General features: G+C 36.9%; 1 protein-coding gene across 3 annotated transcripts in view; it reads right to left on the bottom strand.

Annotated features, from left to right (window-relative positions):
* NLRP14 (NLR family pyrin domain containing 14) overlaps positions 1-26,071 on the bottom strand; it is a 70,455-nt gene that overhangs the window by 23,008 nt on the left and 21,376 nt on the right. For 2 of the 3 annotated variants that reach the window (XM_011520044.2, XM_047426867.1), the window contains exons 4-9: positions 23,909-25,505; positions 21,061-21,225; positions 18,055-18,222; positions 9,443-9,613; positions 7,829-7,999; positions 5,390-5,560 (exon numbers count right to left, since the gene is read on the bottom strand). In XM_011520044.2, coding sequence (XP_011518346.1) covers positions 5,390-5,560; positions 7,829-7,999; positions 9,443-9,613; positions 18,055-18,222; positions 21,061-21,225; positions 23,909-25,505 — 2,443 coding nt within the window. Of the gene's footprint in view, positions 1-5,389; positions 5,561-7,828; positions 8,000-9,442; positions 9,614-10,045; positions 10,217-18,054; positions 18,223-21,060; positions 21,226-23,908; positions 25,506-26,071 lie in introns of all 3 variants that reach the window. The other variant, NM_176822.4, reaches the window with a different exon arrangement.

Here is a 26,071-nt window from a genome sequence, read left to right as displayed (position 1 = left end):
AAAGTTCAAAGAAGAAATAATTCCAATCTTACAAAAATCTTCTCAGGAAACTAAAAGATAAGAAACACTCCTGAACTCATCAAAATACTGTAATTCTGACACAAAAACTTGATGAAGACTGCAAAAGAAATTATAACCTATCTCCATTATGAACAAAATGGTTAAATGCTGTCACTAATATTAACATTAACAAAGTAAATTACACAATGTACACAGGAGATATGTCCAAGTTGGTTTTACTCCAAAAAATGCAAGGTTGATATAATGCATATTATATCGATGTGATTCATCACATTTGGCAAAATTCTTCAAGGATAAGCAACTTCAGCAAAGTCTCAGGATACAAAATCAATGTGCAAAAATCACAAGCATTCATATACACCAATAACAGACAAAGAGCCAAATCATGAGTGAACTCCCATTCACAATTGCTACAAAGAGAATAAAATACCTAGGAATACAACTTACAAGGAATGTGAAGGACCTCTTCAAGGAGAACTACAAACCACTGCTCAAGGAAATAACAGAGGACACAAACAAATGGAAAAATATTCCATGCTCATGGATAGGAAGAATCAGTATCATGAAAATGGCCATACTGCTCAAAGTAATTTATAGGTTCAATGCTATCCCCATCAAGCTACTATTGACTTTCTTTACAGAATTAGAAAAAACTACTTTAAATTTCATGTGGAACCAAAAAAGAGCCCGTATAGTCAAGACAATCTTAAGCAAAAAGAACAAAGCTGGAGCCATCATGCTACCTGACTTCAAACTGTACTACAAGACTACAGTAACCAAAACAGCATGGTACTGGTACCAAAACAGATATATAGACCAATGGAACAGAGCAAAAGCCTCAGAAATATCACCACACACCTACAACCACTTGACCTTTGACAAACCTGACAGTAACAAGCAATAGGGAAAGGATTCCCTATTTAATAAATGGTGTTGGGAAAACTGGCTAGCCATATGCAGAAAACTGAAACTGGACCCCTTCCTTACGCATTATACCTTCCTTACACAAAATTAATTCAAGATGGATTAAAGACTTAAACATAAGACCTAAAACCATCAAAACCCTGCAAGAAAACCTAGGCAATACCATTCAGGACATACGCATGGACAAAGACTTCATGACTAAAACACCAAAAGCAATGGCAACAAAACCCAAAATTGACAAATGGGATCTAATTAAACTAAAGAGCTTCTGTACAGCAAAAGAAACTGTCATCAGAGTGAACAGGCAACCTGCATAATGGGAGAAAGTTTGCAATCTATCCATCTGACAAATATTCAGAATCTGAATTTAAACAAATTGACAAGAAAAAAACAACCCCATCAAAAAGTGGGCAAAGGATATGAACAGACACTTCTCAAAAGAAGACATTTATGTGGCCAACAAACATATGAAAAAAAGCTCATCATCACTGGCCATTAGAGAAATGCAAATCAAAACCACAGTGAGATACCATCTCATGCCAGTTAGAATGGTGATCATTAAAAAGTCAAGAAACAACAGATGCTGGAGAGGATGTGGAGAAACAGGAACACTTTTACACTGTTGGTGAGAGTGTAAATTTGTTCAACCATTGTGGAAGACAGTGTGGCGATACCTCAAGGATCTAGAATCAGAAATAACATTTGATCCAGCAATCACATTACTGGGTATACACCCAAAGGATAAGAAATCATTCTACTATAAAGACACATGCACATGTATGTTTATTGCAGCACCATTTGCAATATCAAAAGCTTAGAACCAACCCAAATGCCAATCAATGATAGACTGGATAAAGAAAATGTGGCACATATACACCATGGAATACTATGCAGCCATAAAAAAGGATGAGTTCATGTCCTTTGCAGGGACATGGATGAAGCTGGAAACCATCATTCTCAGCAAACTAACACAAGAACAGAAAATCCAACATCCCATATTCTCACTTGTAAGTGGGAGTTGAACAATGAGAACACATGGACACACAGAGGGGAACATCACATACCAGGGCCTGTTGGGGGATGGGGGCTAGCAGAGGGATAGCATTAGGAGAAAAACTTAATATAGATGATGGGTTGATGGGTGCAGCAAACCACCGTGGCACGTGTATACCTATGTAACAAACCTGCACATTCTGCACATGTATCCCAGAACTTAAAGTATAATTAAAAAAAAGAAAAAGAATACTCCTAGAAAACTAGGTGTAGAAGGCAATTTCCTTAAATTGATAAATTGGTGAACCACTGAAGTTGTGCTTCAAACATTGTGAACAACATATGAAAGTTCATTATCCCCAGACATATTAACATTATATCACATATATTAACAGTTACTAAGGCATATAAAAAATGAAAAAAGAATATAAGAACAGAAAAGGAAAAAACAACTACATTGTATTATTCCCAAATGATGTGATTGTATACCTAAAAAATACAAAAGTATCTACAAATTAGCAACTAGAATAAGCAAGAGAATGTGGCAGGCTATTGGATAAGAAACCAACTTTAAAAACTCCTATGTTTCTATGTATAAACACAATGAAAAAATAACTAAAACAATCATTTACAACAGCATGAAATATAGTAAGCACTTTGGAATAAAGTTAACCAGTAACAAAATACAAGACCACTCAAGAAAAAATTACTAAGCTTTATTGATAGACCTAAATAAATGAGATATGTCTTTTTGGTGTATCAGGAGACTCACTGATAGATTTAATGCAATTCGATTCAATACGCCAACATATAGGTAGGTTGGGGGGCAGTACATATGTATGTAACTTGATAAGTTGATATTTCCAATTTATTTGCAAATGTAAAGGGGAAGGAGAGCCAAAATTCTCTTTAAGAAGATGGGAAGAATTGCTGTAGTGCGTATCAGGGCTTATCATAGAGCTATATTAATTAAGACAGCATTGTTAGAACTGGGAATTACAAACAGGTCAGTGGAAAGGAAAACAGAACCCAGGAACAGATCCACGCACCAATGAAAATGTGGTTTATAACAAAGATGTCCCTACCAAGCAGAGGGGATAAAAATTTCAATACTTTTTGCTGGAAAAAAAAAGAGTATATAGGAAAATTATAAAATTGAACTTTACAGCTACATATATTTTTAAAAGGTAGATTAGAGGCTCCAAAGCTTCCTAATTTGCCTTTGATATTCAGATAATATAGAATTGGTATATAATGTATAAGATATAATGGGTTTCTGTAAATATTGTAAAGATGCTTTTCTCTCTCTCCCATTTGTATGATTCCTCCAGACCAAAGGTCTCCATGCAAGTAAAGGATAATTGGAGAATAGGTGAAGTTCTAGCCACTGGGATGGCACAAACTGATTTCATTGGTGTAGGGGAAGAGCAGCAACAATATTTGGAATGGAACACTTTAGAACCTGGAGGTGTGGAGAGTGAGGAGAACAATTCACTCTCTCTTTTTTCTCCTAGATCCAACACCTTGGCCTGGCAAAATAATTATGTGGTCTGTGGAGTCTAAGCAGCAACTGCAGCTGACAGACTGACCCTCGGCCTGGTTTGTCATGCCTGTCTATATACTATGAAAATAGAAAATCTCATGTAGACATAGCAGGTCCTGAACTACTTTGCTGTGCCTGATGCCATCAATAGCAACCTCCTAATGTGGAATCTTATCATATGTATACAAACACAATCACTAGCACAACCTTGTTTCAATTCGATACAAATCTGCAAGCTTCTCTTGATGCTAGAACAGCCTTGGACTATACCACGTATGAGAATGAGGAAGCTACAACTACCAGTGAGACTGCTTACCTGGCTTAACCAAACTAGTGCAATGGCTAACCAAATAAAATATAACAGCAAATCCAAAATTAGAGTGACCTCTACCCCTTTCAGTTACATGTTTGCATGTGGGGAAGAGTGGACTGCTAACTGTCTCTTTACTGGGGAGGAGGGCTGCTTTTGGCCCATCTTTGTTTATTTATTGCCAGTGACACCAAAGAATGGCAGCTCATTTTAGACTCCCTTGTATGGGTTCTAAAGCATAAAAGACCTAGTAGTCCTTCCTGGGACTTACTCAGTTGACTGAGTCAGACCCCTGTGGGAATGTTTGAAATCAATACTACAAGTTGGGCTCATCACATGCTTGGAGTTTTGTTATTAGTGGCCTTAATTAAATGGTAGATGAGATTAACTGAACAGATTTGGTCCCAGTCTCTGTTAATCAGAGTGGCCAATGGAGTAGCATATTTATGTGAAAATTCACCAGAAGCCAAGATTTTACTGTGTAGAAACAAGGGGTAGATATTTTGGGGAGATATTCTTCCATAGGTCTTTCTCTCTGCTACATGTTTGCTAACAAAAATGCAAGGCCCTGACAGCGCTTTACCTGGGCCATTTTCCAGGATTGTGTTTGTAATGAGCAACCTTGAGGGACAAACAGCAGGCTTATTACTGCCTCCTGTAAAATCCTAGGTCTCTCAGTCTCAATGTTGCATGTGCAGGCATCCATCTGGACCCTCTTCATCAGCCCTGTGAGACTCGGGGGACAAAAGGAACTGACGCAAACATGCTAATACTCATGCTCTTGCTCTGCTACAAGCAATAAAGTCCTTTGTCTCTCCTAAGAGTCTTGTGGGTTTGGTTTTGTTTTTTGTCCAGCATCCATGAAACAGTAACCGGTGAATTTATTAGGTTGTAAGTAGGATAAAATTAAATCTCAGACCTAACAGTTACATCATCATCATTGCTATTATAAAAATATATAGTCAATGGAAATATAACAGCTTCATTTTCTTGGAAGAGTCAGGGGAGATTTCTCTGGAAGACTGTTAAATTTCTAAAGGATGACACATGTCATTATGTCTGAGCTTCCCACACATAGAGCACAATTCTTGACCCTGAGGTCAATAATTCATGTTGTATAAGTGAAAATGTACTAGCCAATATCAGTTCAAAATTAAATAAAAATCTAAACACAGAATTGAACGTAAGAAATGTCCACAACACAGAATGTGATTTTATTACAAGCTCCTTAAGAACATAGTATTTTACAGATAGAAGATAATTAGTAAAAGTCTTCAATTTAATAAAAAAATTAATTCAAAGACAAGTAGACTATCTGAAGGATGACAGAACATGAAGACCCAAACCAGGTACCATTTGCGTACTAAGTATCTGTCCAAGGTACTAAAGGGGACACAAAGAAATGTGAAATATGGCTTCTATACTAAAGAACATGCAGTACATTGATCCATTTATTTGAAATTTAGATTCTTATTTCTGAGAGTAACTTACCTTCTAGCCCCATTTAGTTTTTATCCTCTCTCCATACACTAAATATCTTCTAGCTATACTAGCTACCAAATAGGCATCATTTTCCTAATGGAAAACTATGAACTCACCCGAGCCTCTGAATGTTACAGTTTGGATATCTCAAAGCATCACACAGAATTTTCACTCCATCATCCTGCAAATCGTTGTTCCCAAGGTCCAGGCTCCTCAGGTTTGGGTTATTCAAAATAACAGAAGCCAGATCCAGACAACATGCATTAGTGAGAACACAGCCCATCAATCTGTAAGAATTACAATAGGAAAAGTGAATCCTTCCATTGTGAGGTTAAATAAGTTTCTTCCTAGGAGATATACCCAGGTATTTGAACCTCTTTTCTCACTCTTTTCTATCTACAATCCAGGACATACATGGGAGGGTCTAATTTATCAGTAAAAATGATGGGATTTCTTAATGAGCAGAATAAACCAGCAGGTAAAACTGTTTTCTTCCACAAACAGGTTATCTACAGAGCTTTAAAAATCAAGGGTATAAACATTTATTTTTACCAATACTTAAAAAAATGAATATAAACTTTCCCAAGGAACTAATAGATCTCTGTGCTTTCAGTTTTTAATATATCTTTAAGTGAAAAAAGTTTCCTGGAATCTATCTCAAAGTATTATCTTCAAAGAAGAAAGCTACATATAAAAAGATATTTATTCCAGGTCCTTTGCATGGCATTCAAGAGCACTCACAATCTGGCCTCAAGCTTTCTCTTTCCATATTTTGTCCCCACATTATTCTCTAACCATACACATGCATTTTTCTCCAACTAAACCATATTTGTTGTTGCGTCTCTTCTATTCTCTCTCCTTTCCTTCTGTTTAGCATATCCCCACATAACAGAATCTTCATCATTTCTCTAGCCTAAAGTAACTCTGTCTCCACTGAGAAGTCCCAGCCTCAATCCCTGAGACTGTTGTCATATCCTTATAACAACGTATGGAATATATTGTAATTTGCTTTATATTTATTTCCCTGTTATCAGCATTTTATGTTATTTGGGGACAAAAGCATCACCTTAATGACTTTTAGTTCCCTCAGCATCTAGTTCATATTGGTTGAAAATATTGGTTAAGAGAATTGACATGGTCTGCATAGAGGCTTTGGAAGGTAATTAAGAAAGTACAGCTTTGTTTACAGCAATGCTAAGGACAGAAAGTGGGCTAGCAAAGACCTTGGGTATATAGGTCACTTAGAAATTATACGTCTGTAGTTAAATGAAGACATTGGATTTAACAACATCCATTAAGTAAAACTTTGTCTTCCAGTTGAATAATGATCAATGAAATTCCAGAGAATCACATAGTAACCCATGTCATCTACATTTTCCTAAAGTAAGTAAATGTATTTATTGAACCCTACAGTGTAATTGCCTTGTGTTTATAGGTGTCACATTAAATTATTAAACTCATTTGGAAGTTTAGTTATCATGAGTCAGTCTGGTCAAGACAAATACTTCTGGGTCAACCAAAGAGCTTGACTTTATAGCTCTAAAAAACTATGTTGGGGTTAGACCATTAATGACTCACAAAAGTTGCTGGTCACTTGGGAGGCCCTGGTAGGAAAGTGAGCTGAGGTTGCTAAGTGACGCCTCTGTTTTGATTCATGCTGGCCAAAGTATTTATGCAATGAAATACTAAATACCATACAGTCATTAAAATAATCAAGAAGATAATTTGAAATAAGTATTTCAATGTATTTCTTTTTTTATTCTCAGCATGCACACCTCGATAAATGTATTTCTGAAATACTATCAAGTGAAAAGGAAACCCCAAATCATGTCCATAAAGCAATCACAATTATGTATGCACATGCAATGGATATGTATGCAAATCTGCTCATAGAGTGAGAAAACATAATATTAATGAAAATGGTTGGAGTTTAAAAATGTGTAGGATATTGTTAAAAATCCCCTTTCCATTTATTTGAAAGTTGACTTAATTATAACCTGAGTTTAAATATAAATCTAAAAGAAAAACTAGTAGAGCACAATTTCAGCTTCATGGATAAAAGTAGAGGACACACAGTAGATTCACTAGGACACAACCAAGGAAAGAATAAAATGGCTACTGTTCAGCAATAGATTGTAGGATACTGTAAAAATCTCCTTCCCAATTTCTTTGAAAGTTGACCTAATTATAAACCTGAGTTTAAATATAAATCTAAGAGAAAAACTAGTAGAGAACAATTTTAGCTTCTGGATTAAAAGTAGAGGACACACAGTAGATTCACTGGGGCACAACCAAGGAAAGAATAAAATGGCCACTGTTCAGCCTGATGCCTCTGGTCCTCATTACCTGAGGAAAGTTTATTAGAATTACTATGGTAATTATTTTTAGAAATCTGATGAGCAGACTTCCCCAGCTTGTCTCAGGCAGAAGAGAGAGGGAAAATCAGCTTTATATTCTTTTCTCTGATAGATGCTCGGTTCTCAGCCTTTCTTTCAGTATCTCCCCAGACACTCTGTTGTTGAAACTACACAAAAGTAAAGCAACAGAAAACCTACTCCAAGTCCTGAAGATTACAGCTTGGATGCCGAAAGACATCACACAGAAGCTTCACTCCATTGTCTTGTAGCCAGTTTGATCCTAGATCCAGATGCGTCAGGCTCTTGTTGTGTAGAAGAGAAGTTGACAGATATTCACTGCTAAGTGAAGTGAAATGGCAACGCCTCAGCCTACAGGAAGGACAATGTGAAGAAAGATGGAATCATTGCTCTACTGTCCAGAGATTTCTTTCTCTGAAGAGATTTCATGATTTGATCCCTTATCTATTTGCCAACATTCCATCTCAGATGAAACACCCTCACTGCCAGCCTGTCTCACTTGGGAAACAGATATACATCAAATTGGGCTACAAACTAGACTCATATTCTTCAGCATTTTTCTTACAATAAATTAAATGCTAACCTCATTACATTACACATATACATAGTACTCTGTTGTAGAAGTAGCTCCATGGACTAGAAGAACAGGCAGATGGAGTAGAATAAGAGTAATCTTAATAAAGTAAGTACTCTTTGTATGTAATAGAAGCGGCATTTTCAAACAGTAAGGAAAATCCATATTATGCCATTATTGCTTTTGTACAATAGATCTGATATATGGGGGAAAATAAGTTTAAGCCTTATAACAAAATAAATTTGGAATAATTTAACATGTAAACGTTAAAATTAAACCATGAAGAGTATGAGATGACATATGTGTATTTTTTTTAAAAGAAAGGTACTTCCAAACTCCTTGAGGTCATGAGGCAGAATTTGACATCACAAAAAATTTTAAACTTATCTGTTCTAAAAATGACCATAAAGAAAGTTAGAAATAAAGCAACATGCTAAGAAAATTATTTGTAATATATAAAAAATAATAATATATGTGATATTAATAACTATAAGATATATATAATAGAAAACATCAGAAAAAAACAGCCCATGAAGAGGAAATTCCTAAATATAAAAGGCCAAAAACATTTGAAAAGATGCTCAAGATTTAAATTACTTTAAAAGTTACTTTTCAACTATTTAATTAATACAGATCAAAAAGATTGTAGATGTCCAATGAGGGTGTTAAAGTGCAGGTCCCTAGACTGCTGCTGGGAATATAAATAATCTATCTGGAAGGCAATTTAACCATATTTGGCCAAATTAAAACCTTGGCTTATTAATTCAATGTTTAGAAAATTATCTAACAAAAATGAGCAGAATAATCACAATGTGATTCAGACATACAACAGAGTGCTATATTTCTGTTCTGAGCTCAGATCATAGACTAGGATAGGTGGTAGGCTTTAGTTCTAAATTCATCATTTTCTTGTGAGATATTAAGCAAGGTGCATTATCTCCCTAAGGCTCACATTCCTCACCTGTAGAGTGAGGCCCCTCAAAATTGGGTGGTCAATTTGACACCATCGGGTACTATTTTGCAGATTAAGCATGTTTAAAACAAGATCCAGAGTAGAGTTAGGACACAATAAATGGCAATTATTAATATCACTTTCACCTTCTTCATTAAGGGTAACAGGGAAAAAGCAAGGGACAGAATGTGTTCATAATATTTTACTATTTTAAACATATTTCAAAATGTACAATATATATTAAGGATAAAAACTTGAAGACACTTACACAAGGCTCTTCAGAGTACATTGTGCATGTTGCAGGGCATCACTCATAAGCTTTACTCCACCATCACCCAAGACATTGTCTGCCAAGCACAAATGTGTCAGTCTTTTATTGCTGATGAGAGCCAAAGAAAGATACTCACAGCCAGCCTCTGTGAGACCACAGCTTTCTAAGCTGAAAGAGAAAGAGATGAGAAGAGATCTGTCAATTCCCAAAGCCCATGCTTCTCTTCTCCTTCACAGGGAAATCAGTGGCACTTATAACCCCCATACCTCAACTATAAAATTAACCTCAACAAACCTATTTAAATTACGAATTCCATTGCAGCTGTATGCAGGATATGATGAAACAAAACACGGAAGGGGAGAGGGGAAGCTTGGAAAAGAATGAAAATAAAGAGGTCAATCAGAAAAAAATGATAGGTCTAAAAGTGAAGTAAAAGAGAGGGAAGTAGAGGAAGAGAAGGGGGATGCATGTAGAGCTTATTCAGAATTGACAAACGAGCCAGTTAGTGCCAAGACCCAAGAAGTTTCCCTATCAGATCACAATTAAGCTACACAGAACCAAGCAAAATGACTCTACAGAAAACAAAACAGAAACACTCACGACAGTCTCTCTAGATAACACTTTGGATGTCTTAAGGCCTCACACAAAAGCTGCACTCCATCATCCAACAGATTATTGGTTGACAGATTCAGAAATATCAGGCTCTGGCTTCTGATGAGAGCATTAGATATATTTAGACAACAAAATACAGTTAGGTTGCAAGATTCCAGCCTGGAAAACAACACAGAAAAGCAGGAATGACCACTCCTTAGAGAATAATTACAACCAACACCTACCGATCCCAAAGGTAGGAAGTTTCCTAATCTTTGGAATCTTGCCTGAAAAATCCAACTTCTCTACACAGAAAAAAAGTTATTTAACTAAAGCATAAGGCTCTGACAGAGTTAAGGAGGGAAGGGAAGGAGATTGTTTATCACATTCCCATCCCCTTAATTCCCTATGAAAATACATTTGAGAGCATTCAAAAATATCTTTAAATGATAATATTTTTTAGTCTGGGAGGAATTTCCGCTAACTACAACTTGGAAGATATGGCGTGAAGGATGACTGTATTCTACACTCTGACTTCTGAAACAGAACAGAAATGGACAGGAAGTTGGGAGCAAAAGCTGTGTCTCCCGTGAGCTCATTTATTCATGAGCCCGTGTTTTCTGACGAATCCAGTCCTTAAGAGTGAAAAACAATAAGTAAATCATAAATAAAACAAAATTGTTTCTAAAGATTAAAAGGAAGAGAAACAGAAAAAGTACATGTAGAGAGACTCATATTTAGAGACAACCTGTGCCTTGTACATGTTGGGGAGTAATACTAACCCTTTGTAATGAGTCAGGCAGCAGCAGCAGCAGCATTTCTGGTATTTGGAATTTCTCTGGGTATTCCTTTATAATCAAAGACTTACCAACTTGAGTCACTCAAGAATTGTTTCTCGTCATCAAAATCAGGGTCTATAGAGGAAGGAACAGAGAAGCTTCCTCCTAAGCCCAGAATTAAATCTTAATAGATGACCTAGAACATGGCCTAAGGCTGAAAAAGCTCAGCTTGCCCAAAACCACAATTACTTTTGCACTAACCCATAACTAATAATCACCTTAAGTTAAAAATTACTTGGAAGTTTCTGGACACAAATGTATATGTACCACATTTTCTTTATCCATTCACCTTTTGATGGACATTTAGGTTGCTTCCAAATCTTGGAAGCAAAACAGAACAAAAATGAAAGAAAATATATCCCACTTATGAAGGAAAAATGGTACTGAAAACATTTTTAAATGTTTCTAACTGTAGATATAAATATTAAATGCTTGATAGTTCATTTTCTCTTATCCTTCCCATATTATGAGTTTCTTGAGATTTCTTTTTTTTTTTTTTTTTGTATTAGTGCTAATAGAATTTCAGCTATGGGACTGCCTAACTCTTTATGTATGAAATCTTAGCCTCATTAAAATAAAATGTTCCCTCTTTCCCTTGCAGCTGCAAAGAAGAGATCATTACAAATCAGAAAATCTTTTATAAGAATGATTTTGTCTTATTATAATAATGAAATCTTATAAGATACCTGGACTTTAGAAATTATTGCTATGCCTTGTGAAAACAACCCTTACCTACTATTAAGTCTGTACTTTTTATCAATTGTCTTGCTTTGTGTCACTCTTGTAATATTCACATTGATATTTCTGAATTCCTAAATTTTATAAATATTGGAAAGATTTTTTCAAATCAGAAAAAAAATCATTAACACTCTCCTCTCACATGTATAAAGTAATAAAAAATAAAACTCTTTCCTAGTTTTCTAGAGTTTGGAGGTTTTTTCTCACCTGTATTAATATATAACATCAATCACCAGTGATTCAATCAAAAGGGAAGCCAAAAGCTGAGGATTATGGCTCCAAACTGACCCCTAAATGTAAGCCAGCAAAACAGGAGACAGATTAGCTTATCACTTATATTTAGTTCCTTCTTAAGAGCCTGCACGACTTCCTCTTAATAGTGCTACCAAAACAACATCCTTGGCAAAAATTTCCAAAGCCCAAAGCTCCTTAAAAGTCAGCAAGTTATAAATGTTTTTGTTGTCCTTACTGCTTGCTATCTGTAGCACTGACCAGCTGTTATTTGGTATAGGTCCATAAGATGGTACAGATGCTGTTGACTTAGAGAACCCATGTTCCATCTACCTAGAATAAGCTCTGCTTTGAGAGTTGGTCAGGGTAGGATTTTAACGGATGCAAGACGCTGGAGCTTTCTTTATGAGTTGAGCCCTGTTGGAGTAAGTTCTCCTGTCCTGCTAGCAAACAAGAATCAGAAAACTGCCATTACCTGAAAAAGGGGCTATTCCTCAATAAAGAGGAACTGCTAACTCCTGAAGATGAACTCCCAGGAACTCAAAGATGCTGCGTGAATGTATTTTTCCCTTCTGAAAATGTCTGCTGTGTAATTTCCAGGTTGCTCAAGAACTTCGTAATTTATTTTTGTTTTTTGAGTATGAGATTATTTTTCTGATATGAATTAGAAATTGAGAGATAACAGGAGAGTTGTTGCCGAAGCTATATGGTTGCAGGAGCTTTTTGTTTCTAAGGATCAATATAAATGTACTGCAGGTGACAGAGGAATGATATTGCCAAGAGAAGGAGCATTTCCACTAAGAGGATAGGCTTCATGGGCCTATTCTAAACCAAGGTGAATCATCAGATAAATTAATTGGCTCTGTAATTTGAGATTTTGGTTTTACCACAATGATAAATAAAAATACAACATGCAGGGATAAACCTACACATCTACAGTGGACTCATTTTCGACAAAGGTGCCAAGAACACATATGGTGGAAAGGACAGTCTCTTTAGTAAATGGTGCTGGGAAAACTGGATATTCATATGTAAAAGAAGGAAACTAGACTCCTATCTCTCAACATATACAAAAATCAAACCAAAGTAGATTAAAGACTTCAATCTAAGACTTCAAACTGTTAAACTATTAAAGTAAAACATAGGGGAAATGCTCCAGGACATTGGACTGGGCAAAGATTTCTTGAGTAATACCCCACAAGCATAGGCAACCAAAGCAAAAATGGACAAATGGGATCATAGCAAGTTAAAAAGCTTCTGCACAGCAAAAGAAACAACCAATAAGGTGAACAGACAACCCATAAAATTGAAGAAAATATGTGCTAACTACCCATTTGACAAGGGGCTAATAACGAGAATATATTACATAAGGAGTTCAAACAACACTACAGGAAAAAAATCTAATTATCCAATTAAAATGGGCAAGAGATCTGAATAGATATTTCTCAAAAGAAGACACACAAATGGCATATGCAAAGATGCTCAACATCATTAATAATCAGAGAAATGTAAATCAAAACTACAATGAGAAATTACCTCACTCCAGTAAAAATGACCTATCCAAAATTCAGTCAATAACAAATACTGGTGAGGATGTGGAGAAAAAGGAACCCTCATACACTGTTAGTAGCAGTGTAAATTAACACAACTATTATGGAGAACAGTTTGGAGGTTCCTCAAAAAAACCAAAACTAGAGCTACCGTATGATCCAGCAATTCCACTGTGGAGTATATACCCAAAAGAAAGAAAATCAGTGTATTGAAGAGATACCTGCACTCCCATGTTTACTGCAGCACTATTCACAATAGCCAAGATTTGGAAGCAACCTAAATGTCCATCAAAAGGTGAATGGATAAAGAAAATGTGGTACATACACACACTGGAGTACTATCCAGCCATAAAAAAGAATGAGATCCTGTCATTTGCAACAACATGGATAGAACTGGAGATCATTATATTAAGTGAAATAAGCCAGGCACAGAAAGACAAACTTTCCATGTTCTCACTTATTTGTGGGAGTGAAAAATGAAAATATGGAGATATCTCATGGACATAGAGAGTAGAATGATGGTTATCAGAGGCTAGGAAGCACAGTGGGGGAATGAGGGGAAGAGGGGAATGGTTAATGGGTACAAAAAAATAGTTAGAAATAATGAATAAGACTGAGTATTTGCTAGGACAACAGGGTGACTAACGTAAAAAATAATTGTACATTTTAAAATAACTAAAAGAGTATACTTGGATTGTTTAATACAAAGGATAAATAAATGCGTGAGGTGATAGATACCCCATTTACCTTGATGTGATTATTATGCATTGCATGCTTGTATCAAAATATTGCATGTAACCCGTAAGTATACACACCTACTATGTACCTAAAAAATTGAAAATACAGAAGTGAAAGTAAAAAAAAATACAAAATCCTCTCAGAAAAAAATACAAATGATGGCTTTTTAGACCACAAAACTTCTGTATTTCTTTAATGAGAAGTCTAAATTAAATAATTTCCTAAGTATCCTACAATTCTCCTGTAGACATATTACTTACACTAATATTTTAAAGTATATATATATATATAATTTAAATCATATATATATGATTTAAATGAGTTAACTAAATGATGAGCATCTTTATAAACCGGAAGCTTGTAAATCTGGGAATCAGCCAAGATTATAAATATTTTGTACTATCTGGGTCAAGTTTTGAGGTATCACATTGTTTGGCTATATTGTTAGTTATCAACAGTGGTTATGTTATTCCTAATATTAACTTAAATACAGTTTCCAAACTTACTGATTTTGAAATGTTGAAGTAATACGGTATTTTAAAGATTAGTTTATAATTTATCTAAATGTTTCTAGAGAGGTTTAATTTCAAAGTGGGAAAATAAATTACAGTCTTACCACACAATTTGTTCTTCATATTAAAATAAAGACAGCAAAAATCAATATACTGTCTCATAATCAATATTATTTCTGTTCAAAAAGTTATGGTCTCAGCCTTTAAAGGATAGTTCACTTAAACTTTTTTGGTATGATTATGAAGCTGTGTATACATATATATCATGGTTTATTAATGAATAAAAGAAATTTTGAATGGAGAAGAGGACTGGTAGTTTAGTCTCTGCTTGCTGGTAGTCTTCCCAGGTGGCAGAACCTCTGGTTTTAAACGGTGTATTCTCATTTCCCCAAATTCTGTTTACATTTATGATGATTCATTAGGCATTTCATGATTATAAACAATTGTATTGAGCCACAGAGTTTCCTCACTCCTGAAGAAGCAAAAATTTCTATTGGTCCATATGCTATCTACCTGTTAAGTAATATTTTACTCTAGTTGATAATGAGACACAGCTGTGGATATTTGCCATTCTCAGGCAAGTTCCTCTTAGCCAGCTTTGTTTTTGTTTTTTTTTAAACACAGTCTTGCTCTGTTGCCCAGACTGGAGTGCAGTGGCGCCATCTTGGCTCACTGCAACCTCCGCCTCCCAGGTTTCAAGCAATTCTCCTGTCTCAGCCTCCTGAGTAGCTGGGATTACAGGTGCGCATCACCATGCCCAGTTAGTTTTTGTATTTTTAGTAGAGATGGGGTTTTGCCATGTTGGCCAGGCTGGTCTCAAATTACTGGCCTCAAGTGATCCAAGGTTGTCAGCCTCACAAAGTGCTGGGATTACAGGCGTGAGCCACCACACCCGGCCTTATCTAACTATTCTAGTTGCCCCCCTTCTGAAATATTAGTCTTCTAATTCAAAGTCTATGAAGATATAGAGAGTGCTCTGCATTTATATGCCATTTTGGTACCCTTCAGGTGGCTGTTTTGTGGAAGCAACAATCATTCCCTTACCTTGCTTATAAAGCCCCAATAGCAGAGCATATGCAAACTAAGAAGAGATCCTGGGCACAATCAGAAATTATTGGACTATGCCAAGGTTTCTGTTTTTGTTTTTGGTCTCTCCTTGCTCAGCAAATTTTAAGAGCTTACCTTAAAGCATATTTTAAGACCTATTATAAGGCCTATAATGTGGAAAAAAATTATCAAGACAAAGAGAATAGATCTTTCTCCTCTTCTTGAGGGAGGCCTTGGGTAAATATTATAGTAAAGCATTCTCATGAAAATTAGTGATTATGGGCCAGGTGCGATGGCTCATGCCTGTAATCCCAGCACTTTGGGAGGCCAAGGCAGGCGGATCACAAGGTCAGGAGATCGAGACCATCCTGGCCAACATGGTGAAACCCCATCTCTACTAAAAACACAAAAATAAGCCGGGCATGGTGGCATGGGCCTGTAGTCCCAGCTACTCAGGAGGCTGAGGCAGGAGAATCGCTTGAACCCAGGAGGCAGAGGTGGAGGCTGCAGTGAGCCGAGATCGCACCACTGCACTCCAGCCTGGGTGACAGAACGAGACTCTGTCTCAAAAAAAGAAAGAAGAAAATTAGTGATTATGTATCCTTTCAGTATGTTCATGTACAGGGGCTCATATGAGCAATTTAAAGTTTTAGAAGGTATTTTATTTTTAAATTAGCCAAGTTCTAACAATCACTGGGGATCATATGTTGCAAGACAGACTGGCAAAGTCCTACTGATGTATCGACACTGCCCACATCTACAGAGAGAGTATAACATCAAAATGCAATTCTAAAAACTTGTGCATGGTCTATACACAAACCAAACTAATGAGGACATTCATACTACCCATGGCTCTTATAACATGAGATATGAAGCAAACAGAAAACTGGACCTTCTCCCACACGAAATGTTAATAGGACCATTGATTGCTCCTCAGTGGCCATCCACACTGGGGGAACATGCAGTCCCACATAATGGAGTATGAGATTATTACAAAGCTCTGATGACTTTTGCCAAAGCATTGTATTTACTGTTGCAAGGAGCCCTACTAGTTGACCCAGAAAGATGGTTTCCTATTTGAAATCCTGGCAACTTGGTCTGTATCAAGGCTTACCAGCGGACGACATTACTCAAACCTCAAATGGAAGGGATCTTATCAAGTCCTACTGATCTGTCAAGCACCAAGCTTTTCTTGTCTTGGATCCACAGCTCCCACTGTAAGAAAACATCTTTCCTCTTTTCCTCAATTTAACAGCTTTTTGCTACTAATACATTTTATTTTTAGATATAGGAAACAGTGACATACTTCTTACCTGAGTTTCAGACTAGATATGTAGGTTACAGAAAATGCCTCATAATATCTTAAAACTGCTTAGTAGGTAAAACCTTTACTCTGACCTGGCCTCCTAACAACTGAACTCAACCTATGTTTGAGAATTATCCAACAACTTTCCAGATATGCTGTAAGTGAATTCCATCTTATAAAAACCGATAAGAGTTTTTAAAACGTCAAAGAAAGTCTTATTCCAGACTTCATTTATTTTTCCTACACCTGGATTATAATTTGCTTCCTACAAATACAGATCTACTTTGGCCCTTCATGCATCAAGCTTCAGTCTTGGCCACCCTGAACTGAGTCCAGGGCTTATAAAAACTTCTAATGCAAAACTTACTGTAACTATTTGTTTTGTCTGGTTTTGTCAGAAACCTATTTCATTGACTTTCATTGAAAAATAAGATCTTTCTTAAAACCTGTCACACAATGTGGAGAACAGTATGACTGCTAATCCTTTCACTTTCATCGGCCAAAGAAGAGTCACCACTCAGATCAATAGTGTGTGGTAGCCAGCAAGCACCTTGAAAGAGGACCATTTCCATGCTCTTCTTTCTCAGCCTTCTGGGCTGGTCACTGAGTTGAAGTTCTAAATTGAGGGGGAGTCACCAACAAAAATCAAATAATAGTGAGTCTGCCCCAGCACTGCCCCCAGTTACATTAAAGAACATCCCCCACTGTATTATTTTCTACGAGAGTTCAAAGATACAACGAATCTATTGCAGCACTTAAATATTAGAAGTGTTAAATATTTATAATTCTGAATCTGCTCTTATTCCCACCACCAGCAGATTTAGGAGATGGAGACACAGAGAACTACACAATGAGAAATCTTCCTGGGGAGATGGGAGGAATGAGAAGTCCTACCAGGATGAAATCAGCTTGATTCTACAGATGCTTGCTACCCCATATCATGAAAGTAGATTTAAGCCGGTCCTATGAATAGCAAATCCAGGCTGTAAGAGTCTACTTGGATAGACAAAAGCCTCAATTATAAAAACAAAACAAGACAAAACAATTCAAAGCTTACCTGAGAGTCTGTAGTTTACACTCTGGGTGTTTCAAGGCCTCACACAATGACTTTACTCCATTATCCCCTATATCACTCCCTTTTAGGTCAAGATGCATCAGATTCTTGTTATGAATCAAAGAAGTAGAGATATCCTGACAACCATCAGGGAAAGTGATAAATTTCAACCTTCAGAAGAAAAATATGCAGGAGGTATTACAAAACCATTTCTCTCCTTGGTTACAGGATCCCTTTCTTTTCAATCTAATTCTTGGATATTACATGAATATTCTTTTATCTTATTTTCATCTAAAACAATTGGGTTATAACTTCAATTTCTATTTATGACCTGATAATTGACACTCCCCAGTTTTTTTTACCTTAACGGAAAAGAAGGTGATAACATCATGAAAAGCAGAAGAGGAGCCTCTTTAACTTGTAATCCCAGGAATGACTATCAAAAATTATCAGGGCCATTCCAAGTACTACAATAACATTAATTCACAATAGCCAAATCTTTAAATAATCCAAGGTTAATTCAAAATTAGCATCAACTGTCTGATGTGCAGTAATAACAAAACGCTGTTGCAAAACATGCTGTGCCATCTTGGGGACTTCGTTAGGCATACGGAGGCAGGTGTACGGAGGCAGCCCAAGCAAAATATTATGAAGTTAAATCTGCCAATTTTTTTCCTACTTTCTACCTCCTAACTCAGTCAATGTCAGATATTTCTGATTCTTCTATAGTGTCTCTGCTAGTCCCCAATGCCCTTCTGTTCACTGTCCAAAACCTCGCTTTGTAACACCACCTTTCCTCCTTTCGGCCCACCACCCACCCTCCACCCTCACTCCCCTCACCCCAGGCAAGTACACACAGGAAAATAAAGCCTTTACCCATTTATAGCACTAACCATCCTCATCTAGTAAAAGTGCCTAAGGCACTCAGTAAACATAAATGGCACCATCTCACTTATTAGGAAAAAGGGACCACAGTAAGACAGACCACATTAAGGTGGCACAGACTGAGAACAGTCATCATGGTGTCATCCCACTGATGCAACCCTCCCATTCTAAGAAAGGAAGTCAGTTAACCAAGAAGGCATTGGCTATTGTGAAGATCCGGATTGATGACATCCAATGAAGGGACAATATGGGGGAAATGTTTAGGGATGAGTGGAAAGGACTTCCAGGAACCCCGTAATCATAACATACATCTAGTTGTCTTACTACATCTATATGTAAGACCAAGCCTACTCTAGATGCTTGAAATCTAAGGTCAGAACTCACTAAAAACACTGAGATCAGGAGGAAAATATTTGGTGAGAAGCCTGTCCCCAGCCCCCACCCAAAAGAACATCTATTTTCAGTGCTAATGGAAACAAAGATCTATCATTTGTTCAGCATTCAGTTCATACTAAGCAACAAATGTACCTTGTACATATTGACAGGCACAAAATACAGAGATTAGGATCAGTTTCAGCTCCTAGTGGAGTCCTTACACAAAAAGGTAAGAGACATGTGAACAATCAACATTTTAAAGTGATTATCTAGAATCCAATTAAGATAAATTAAAATTTAAAAAAGACTGACAGCATCTAATGTTGGCAAAGATTACCCTTATTCCTAACAGGTTAGGGAAACCTCCAGGGGTCTATTAACAAGAGAATGAATAAACAAATTATAGTATAAGTATAGTTATACAATGGAATACTAATCAGCAATAAAAAAGAAACTACTAAAAGTTGCAACAAAATGGATAAATTTTAGAAGACATTTTGTTGAGCACAAGAAGATGGATATAGCCAGGTGTGGTGGCTCATGCCTGTAATCCCAGCACTTTGGGAGGCCAAGATGGGTAGATCACTTGAGGTCAGGAGTTTGAGACCAGCTTGGCCAACATGGTGAAACCCTGTCTCTACTAAAAATACAAAAATTAGCCAGGTGTGGTGCTGCGTGCCTGTAGTCCCACCTACTCGGGAGGCTGAGGCAGGAGAATGGCTTGAACCTGGGAGGCGGAGGTTGCAGTGAGCCGAGATTGTGCCACTACACTCCAGCCTGGTGACAGAGCAAGACTGTCTCAAAAAAAAAAAAGAAAAGAAAAGAAAGAGAAAGAAGATAAATTAAAAAAAATACATACTGTATAAATCAATCAAAATGATTCCAAAAAGATACAAAGCTGAACTCTGGTGACAGAGATTAGAAAATGATTGTCTCTGGGAATGGATGGGGTGAGAAGATTGAACAGAAAGGGATAGGCTGGACATTGTGGCTCATGCCTGTAATCCCAGCACTTTACGAGGCTGAGGCAGGAGGATCTCCTCAGCCCAGAAGTTTCAGACCAGCCTGGGCAACACAGTGAGACCACATCTCTACAAAAAATTAAAAAAAAATAGCCTGGCATGGTGGTACATGCCTGTAATCCCAGCTACTTGGGAGGCTGAGGTGGCAGGATTGCTTGAGCCCAGGAGTTCTAGCTGCGATAGCATCACTGCATTCCAGCCTGGACAACAGAGTAAGACCCTGTCTCAGGAAAAAAAAAAACGAAAGGGGTACAAGGGACCTTTCTGAGATAAATGAAAATATTTTCTATCTTGTTTTGGGTGTGTTGGTTATAAAGATGTTTACACTTGTCAGAACACAACAAACTGAACATTATTTGTGGACTTTGTTAAATGCAAATTTTTCCTCAATAGAAAAAAATTTAAGAGGATAGTAAGTTCCAGAACATGTCCTTGAAAGTGCATTGGTGACCTGCCTAGAATGTTTTAGCTCTGTGCTCTTCATTTAGAAAGTTCCTAATCAAGCCTGAAAAACCCATGTGAACAGCTACTATGCCCTGTGGAATCACTCTGAGAACCAGTTAGTAATGATCCCATGTCCCCAGAGGATTCCATTGTTCCTGTTTATTTTACAAAATGGATTGTAAGTATTTGTTTAGCATTGGCTTCCCCTAACGAGTATGAGTGGAAGATGGGACACAGAAAGAAATTAGAATAACTCCATTAAATTTTCTCATACCAGACTTACAGTAGCTTTTGTAGTTTACAGTTTGGGTGCCTTAGTTCATGATGCAGGATATTCATTGCTGATTTATCAAGGTTGCTATGGTACAGGTCCAATTCTCTCAAGTGTTCATTTGTATGAAGCACAGAACAGAGATCTTGCCAACAGTGAGTAATGCGATCACCATCCCTTTGCATAAATAATTGAGAAAAGAAAAACAATGCTGATTTTATTTCAGCCTAGCCAACTCTCAGAGGATAGTATTGGAGTAAAAGTAAGTGTACTTTGGAAAGGCAAGAGCATCCAGTGCAGCTCCACCGTGGGCACAGTCCACCAGGAAGTCTTCCTCTGGGCACTCCAGAGGTCTTATTTGTCCAATAGCTCTCCCGTTTCCCATCCACTCCCTTCAACACACACAAAATAAAAACCAGAGAAGCTTTACTTTAGAGGAAGCAACTCAGGAGGGATAAGAGAGAAGTATTCAAATACTTGAAGAGCCAATATCAAAAAGAAAAATAAAATTTGGTCACAAAGAATATGATTAGGATTAGTGGGTAGACATTAGGTGTAAAGTGGTATAGATTAAAAACCACAGGCCTGAGCCCCAGGTCTACCACTTACTAGCCATATTATTTTAAGAGAGTTGCATAAGTTCTATAACTTGCAAATTTTCATCATCTATAAAATGGAAATGTCTCCTTTCACAAAGATGTGGAAATTTAATAGTGCATTTTAAAGGGTACACAAAAGCACACTGTAAACTTTAAATACTTTATAATTTAATTATTAGGAATATTATCAATAAACTCATGAACAAATAAAGGGTAATAAAACAGGGGACAACCTGGTGTTTATAAGCTCGACAATGGAGCGGCTCTGAGTCCCAATTCAACACTGCCACTCACTGAACTTAGTTATTCTGGAAAATTTACTAACCTATGTGAGCCTCAGCTTCATGATCTTGATAAATGAAGATAATAGTATCTATTTTTTAGGACAACTGTGAAAATTCAATAAGGCAGTATGTAGAAAATGCTTAGCAAATGTCTCATGCTATAAGTGTTCCTAGTAATCAGTAACTGTTATATACATATATATGTATATATTAAATATAATATATACAAAACATGTAAAAGTCTAGTGTGTTGCCTTATATATAACAGCTAGTCAATAAATATTCATTCCCATATCTTAAATTGGAATGAATGACAGTTCATAGTGATGGTCTATATCACTTGAGGTCTTAAATTTATAAAAACAGGATAATAAATTATTCTTTCAAGCATTCAAGTGTTTCCTCTGTGCGAACACGAGATAAAATGGTGAACCATACAGAGCTCCTGCTCTCACAAAGCTTACAATGTAGTTATATTATAGAAGAGACTGAGGTCACCTACAGTTTTTCTTTTAAAACATTGGGTTCTCTGGCTCCTTATTTTAGCAACAATCAACTCTAGTACTAGATAACTCTACAACATAGGTAAGGAAAGCTAGCAGGAGAACTGGCAATCTAGTGGCCAGAATACTGTTCTAGCATTTACTATTAGGCATAAAAGACGTTTTAATGCCCTGTTAAATCACATCTTCTTTAAATAGAACTCTGAAGTCAGAATTAAGAAAATTGACTGACGATTACTCACAATTTTCCAAGGTGGGTAAAGGTCATAGCATCAGGGCCCACAATTTCTACTCCCACAGTTTGCAAATAAATGAAATGTATGCTCTTATAAGAAAGGAGTGATTCTGCAATTGTATATAATGGTACTGAAACAGCTTGGATAAAGTTAGCAAACCAAGAAATTACAATCAGATGTGTGACCTCAGTCAAGTTATATGCCTTCTTGGTATCACAATTTTGTCCTAAGTAAAATGGAAATAATAGCACCTACCTAATAAGACTATCAGAAGACTAAATGAGATCAAGGACTTAGAAGACTGTCAGGTTATGTGATAAGCACTTAGCCACTTAACTATTATTTGATGTGTGCTTGAATCAATAAATTTTCTAGGTATATGTCTCTGAGTTTTGTAATCTTAAAAATAGAGATGGTTGCCAACAACATTAAATTGCACATTATGTTAAATATCCAGTTCACTATACAACTATATAGCACATAGGAAGTCCTCAATTAATTTTATATACATCTGGGAATGAATTCCATAGTTCAAATCTTTCCTCAGATTTAGATGGGTAGTCAGAAAAGGCAACTTGAGAAAGGAGGTAGAGTAGAATAATGTACGTAAAACACTTAAGGTTCATTTCTTTTTTCAAAAATATTTATTTAGCACCTACTATTTCTTATTAACCTCCAGTGTCTCCAGATAGGCATTAAAGGGCTGAGACCCTTCACAAACTACAAAACAAAGGCCAACCAATGTCTGGGCAATAGAGAAAGCGAGCTAGGTCAGTGGAGTACGGAGGAATATAATACAGAGAGATAACCTGTGTTTACCAGGTTCAGCAGAAAATTTCTGGTCCCTTATTCTGGATGACATTATCTTTAGAAATCAAATATACTTATTATCATGGATGCAAGTTTGTGCCATGCCACATTCCTCCTTGAAGACTGAAGTGCTCATTCCCCCTGAGTTGTTGAGATTGTCAACAATTGAGAGTCCTCAGCCCAGTCCCTCTCCTGGTATTGCCTTCAGGCCAAAAAAAGCCATCTCAGGAAAGTTTTTGCCCACTCCTCACCAGTAGCCATGATTGGTCAATAAGGGGTTTAAATGCTTAGCCTCCCTGCCTCAAGATGGGACAACTCCAGAGGGTTATCTCAGCTCTGGGACCTCAGCTAAACGCCTCCTCCCTCTGACAAATATCTACGTCTCTCCCTTACAGGGCACTTCCAGGGAATGGCCCTAACACACTTACCAAGTGTTAGTTGGGAGGCTTGTTTTTAATATCTTCTTCTCAAATACCACAGTTACAGACAGCCTGATGGTCCGCAAACACCGGCAGTGCTTAAGGCAGAAAGAAGATACAAGCAAATGTATTTTCTCACAAATATTAATGGCAACCTTTGGGAAACATCTCATTGCCTGGCTTATAAACGCTTTATCTTGAGTCTCATACAGACAGTGAAACAACTCCAGAAATCCCAGCTGTGATGGAGAATAGTCACTGTTTCCTAATACTTCCATACACTGAAGTAACTTTGATTTTATCTTCAGTGACATTTTACAGTTAAAAGTCCTCTCCAGTTGTTTTACTCGATCTTCATTCAAAAGGCCAAACAAAAAGCACTTCATCTGTGTCAAATGGGGGTCTTTATAACTTGTGCTTTGAAGTAATGACTTCAAATCTTCAAAAGGCTGGCAGGAAGGGTTCCCAGCTTCCCAACTGCCTTTCAACATATAGAACATAGCTGCAAAAAACTCCTGAACATGAAGGTGGGTGAACACATAGCAGTTTTCATACTCTGCGTCCTTCTGAATAATATTGCTGTCCATAAAACTAGAGACATCAGATTGAGTTAACCCAAGCCTTCTGAGATTTTCTCTGTAAAACACGTAAGTCATAGTCCATATTCCTTTGGCAGCGACTTGGCACAGTCTTCTCAGCTGGGCTTGGTTGGGTAGACTAGGAGAGCCTCCATCTACTGGTGTGAACAAGCTAGAAATATAGCAGGTAAACAGAGCTGTGGTTGTTTGGCAGGTCAATGTGACATCACCACCCTTCTCCATTTGCTGCTTCAGACAAGTACAAGCGGCCCAGCACACTAGGGGGACTTGGCACATGCTAAACAGCATCTCATTGCTTTTTAGTGAACTGAATACTTTCATGGCCCACCTCTTATCTTCAAAAAACTGGTAAATATACTCCTCTCTTGCATCCTCAGACATTCCTAGTAGCTCTACATAATGGTGATTCTTCAACAACTGCTTTAGTCTCTTAGAAGTTGTGAGTCTTGTTGTCACCAATAAGGATGCCTCAGGGAGCATCACTTTCCTCAGCAAACTACTCATGAGGAAGGACACTGGGTGTTCTTGGGTCCAGTCTTCGCACAGTGCAAACTCAGGTTCTTCAAAGGCAAAGTTCAGTTCATCGAAACTGTCAATAATAAACAAGAGGCTACTTGGCTGGTACATGATTTCTTCAATGGGGCCTTCTGTGCTGGGCCAGTCCTTTGATATCAATTGAGCAAAGCTTCTCTCTTTCAGCTGGTTAATTTCTCTCCCATTGAGATAAAAAACATACTTAAACCTCTGCTGGTAGAGACTGCCCTCTGCCCAATCTAACATTGCCTTTCTCACCAAGGTTGTTTTCCCAACTCCAGCAGCTCCCTGAAGCACCACGATCTGTGGCTGTGCACCGGTTTTGACATCCACATCGAACAAGTGTTCCAACAGTTTTCTATCTTTCTCTGCAATTCCATGATGGAAATCTTCAGGCTTTCCAGCCAAAGACTTCTTGTCCCAAGTGATGCAAAATTTTTCCTTTATTCTATTTCTGTATTCTGTTCCATCACCTAAGTCAGAATGGCAAAGGTAAAAAAACAAAAACAAAGACACATGATCAAAACAAATTCTATGAAATGTAATGTCAAGAATACCGAACTTGGAATTAGGAACAAGAAAGAACATAGGCTGAAATCAGAGCTGGTTTTGATTTTTTAAAAATAATATAAATAAAAATATTCCTATAGATTTAAAACCTGTATTAGATACTGTAATAAAAACCAGAATAGATGATGCAGAAAAATGAATTTGTGATGGGAAATAAAAACTGGATTCACTTTAGAAATATTTTTTCTTCTTTGTACTTTTCCTTCTACATAGAAAAAAGATAATAGATGTGGAGAACAGAGATGTCATCCAGATTAAAAAAAAAAAGAACAGAGGCAACCATTAACAATAATAGGGAAGACCCCCAAGACAGACCTGAATCTACAGATCAAAATAATTTTCTTTGTACAAGTAAAAAGTTAATAGAAATAAACATTGAATCGTAGCTTAAATAATATTTTGAAAAAAGAAAAACATCCTGAGTGAAATAGAATGAAAATATAATTCATCTTTACTTGTTTAAGTCTGA

Source organism: Homo sapiens, chromosome 11, assembly GCF_000001405.40.
Source record: "Homo sapiens chromosome 11, GRCh38.p14 Primary Assembly".
Taxonomy (NCBI): Eukaryota; Metazoa; Chordata; class Mammalia; order Primates; family Hominidae; genus Homo; species Homo sapiens.
Note: the sequence above shows the minus strand (reverse complement) of the source record. Positions and strands in the feature narration are given on the sequence as shown.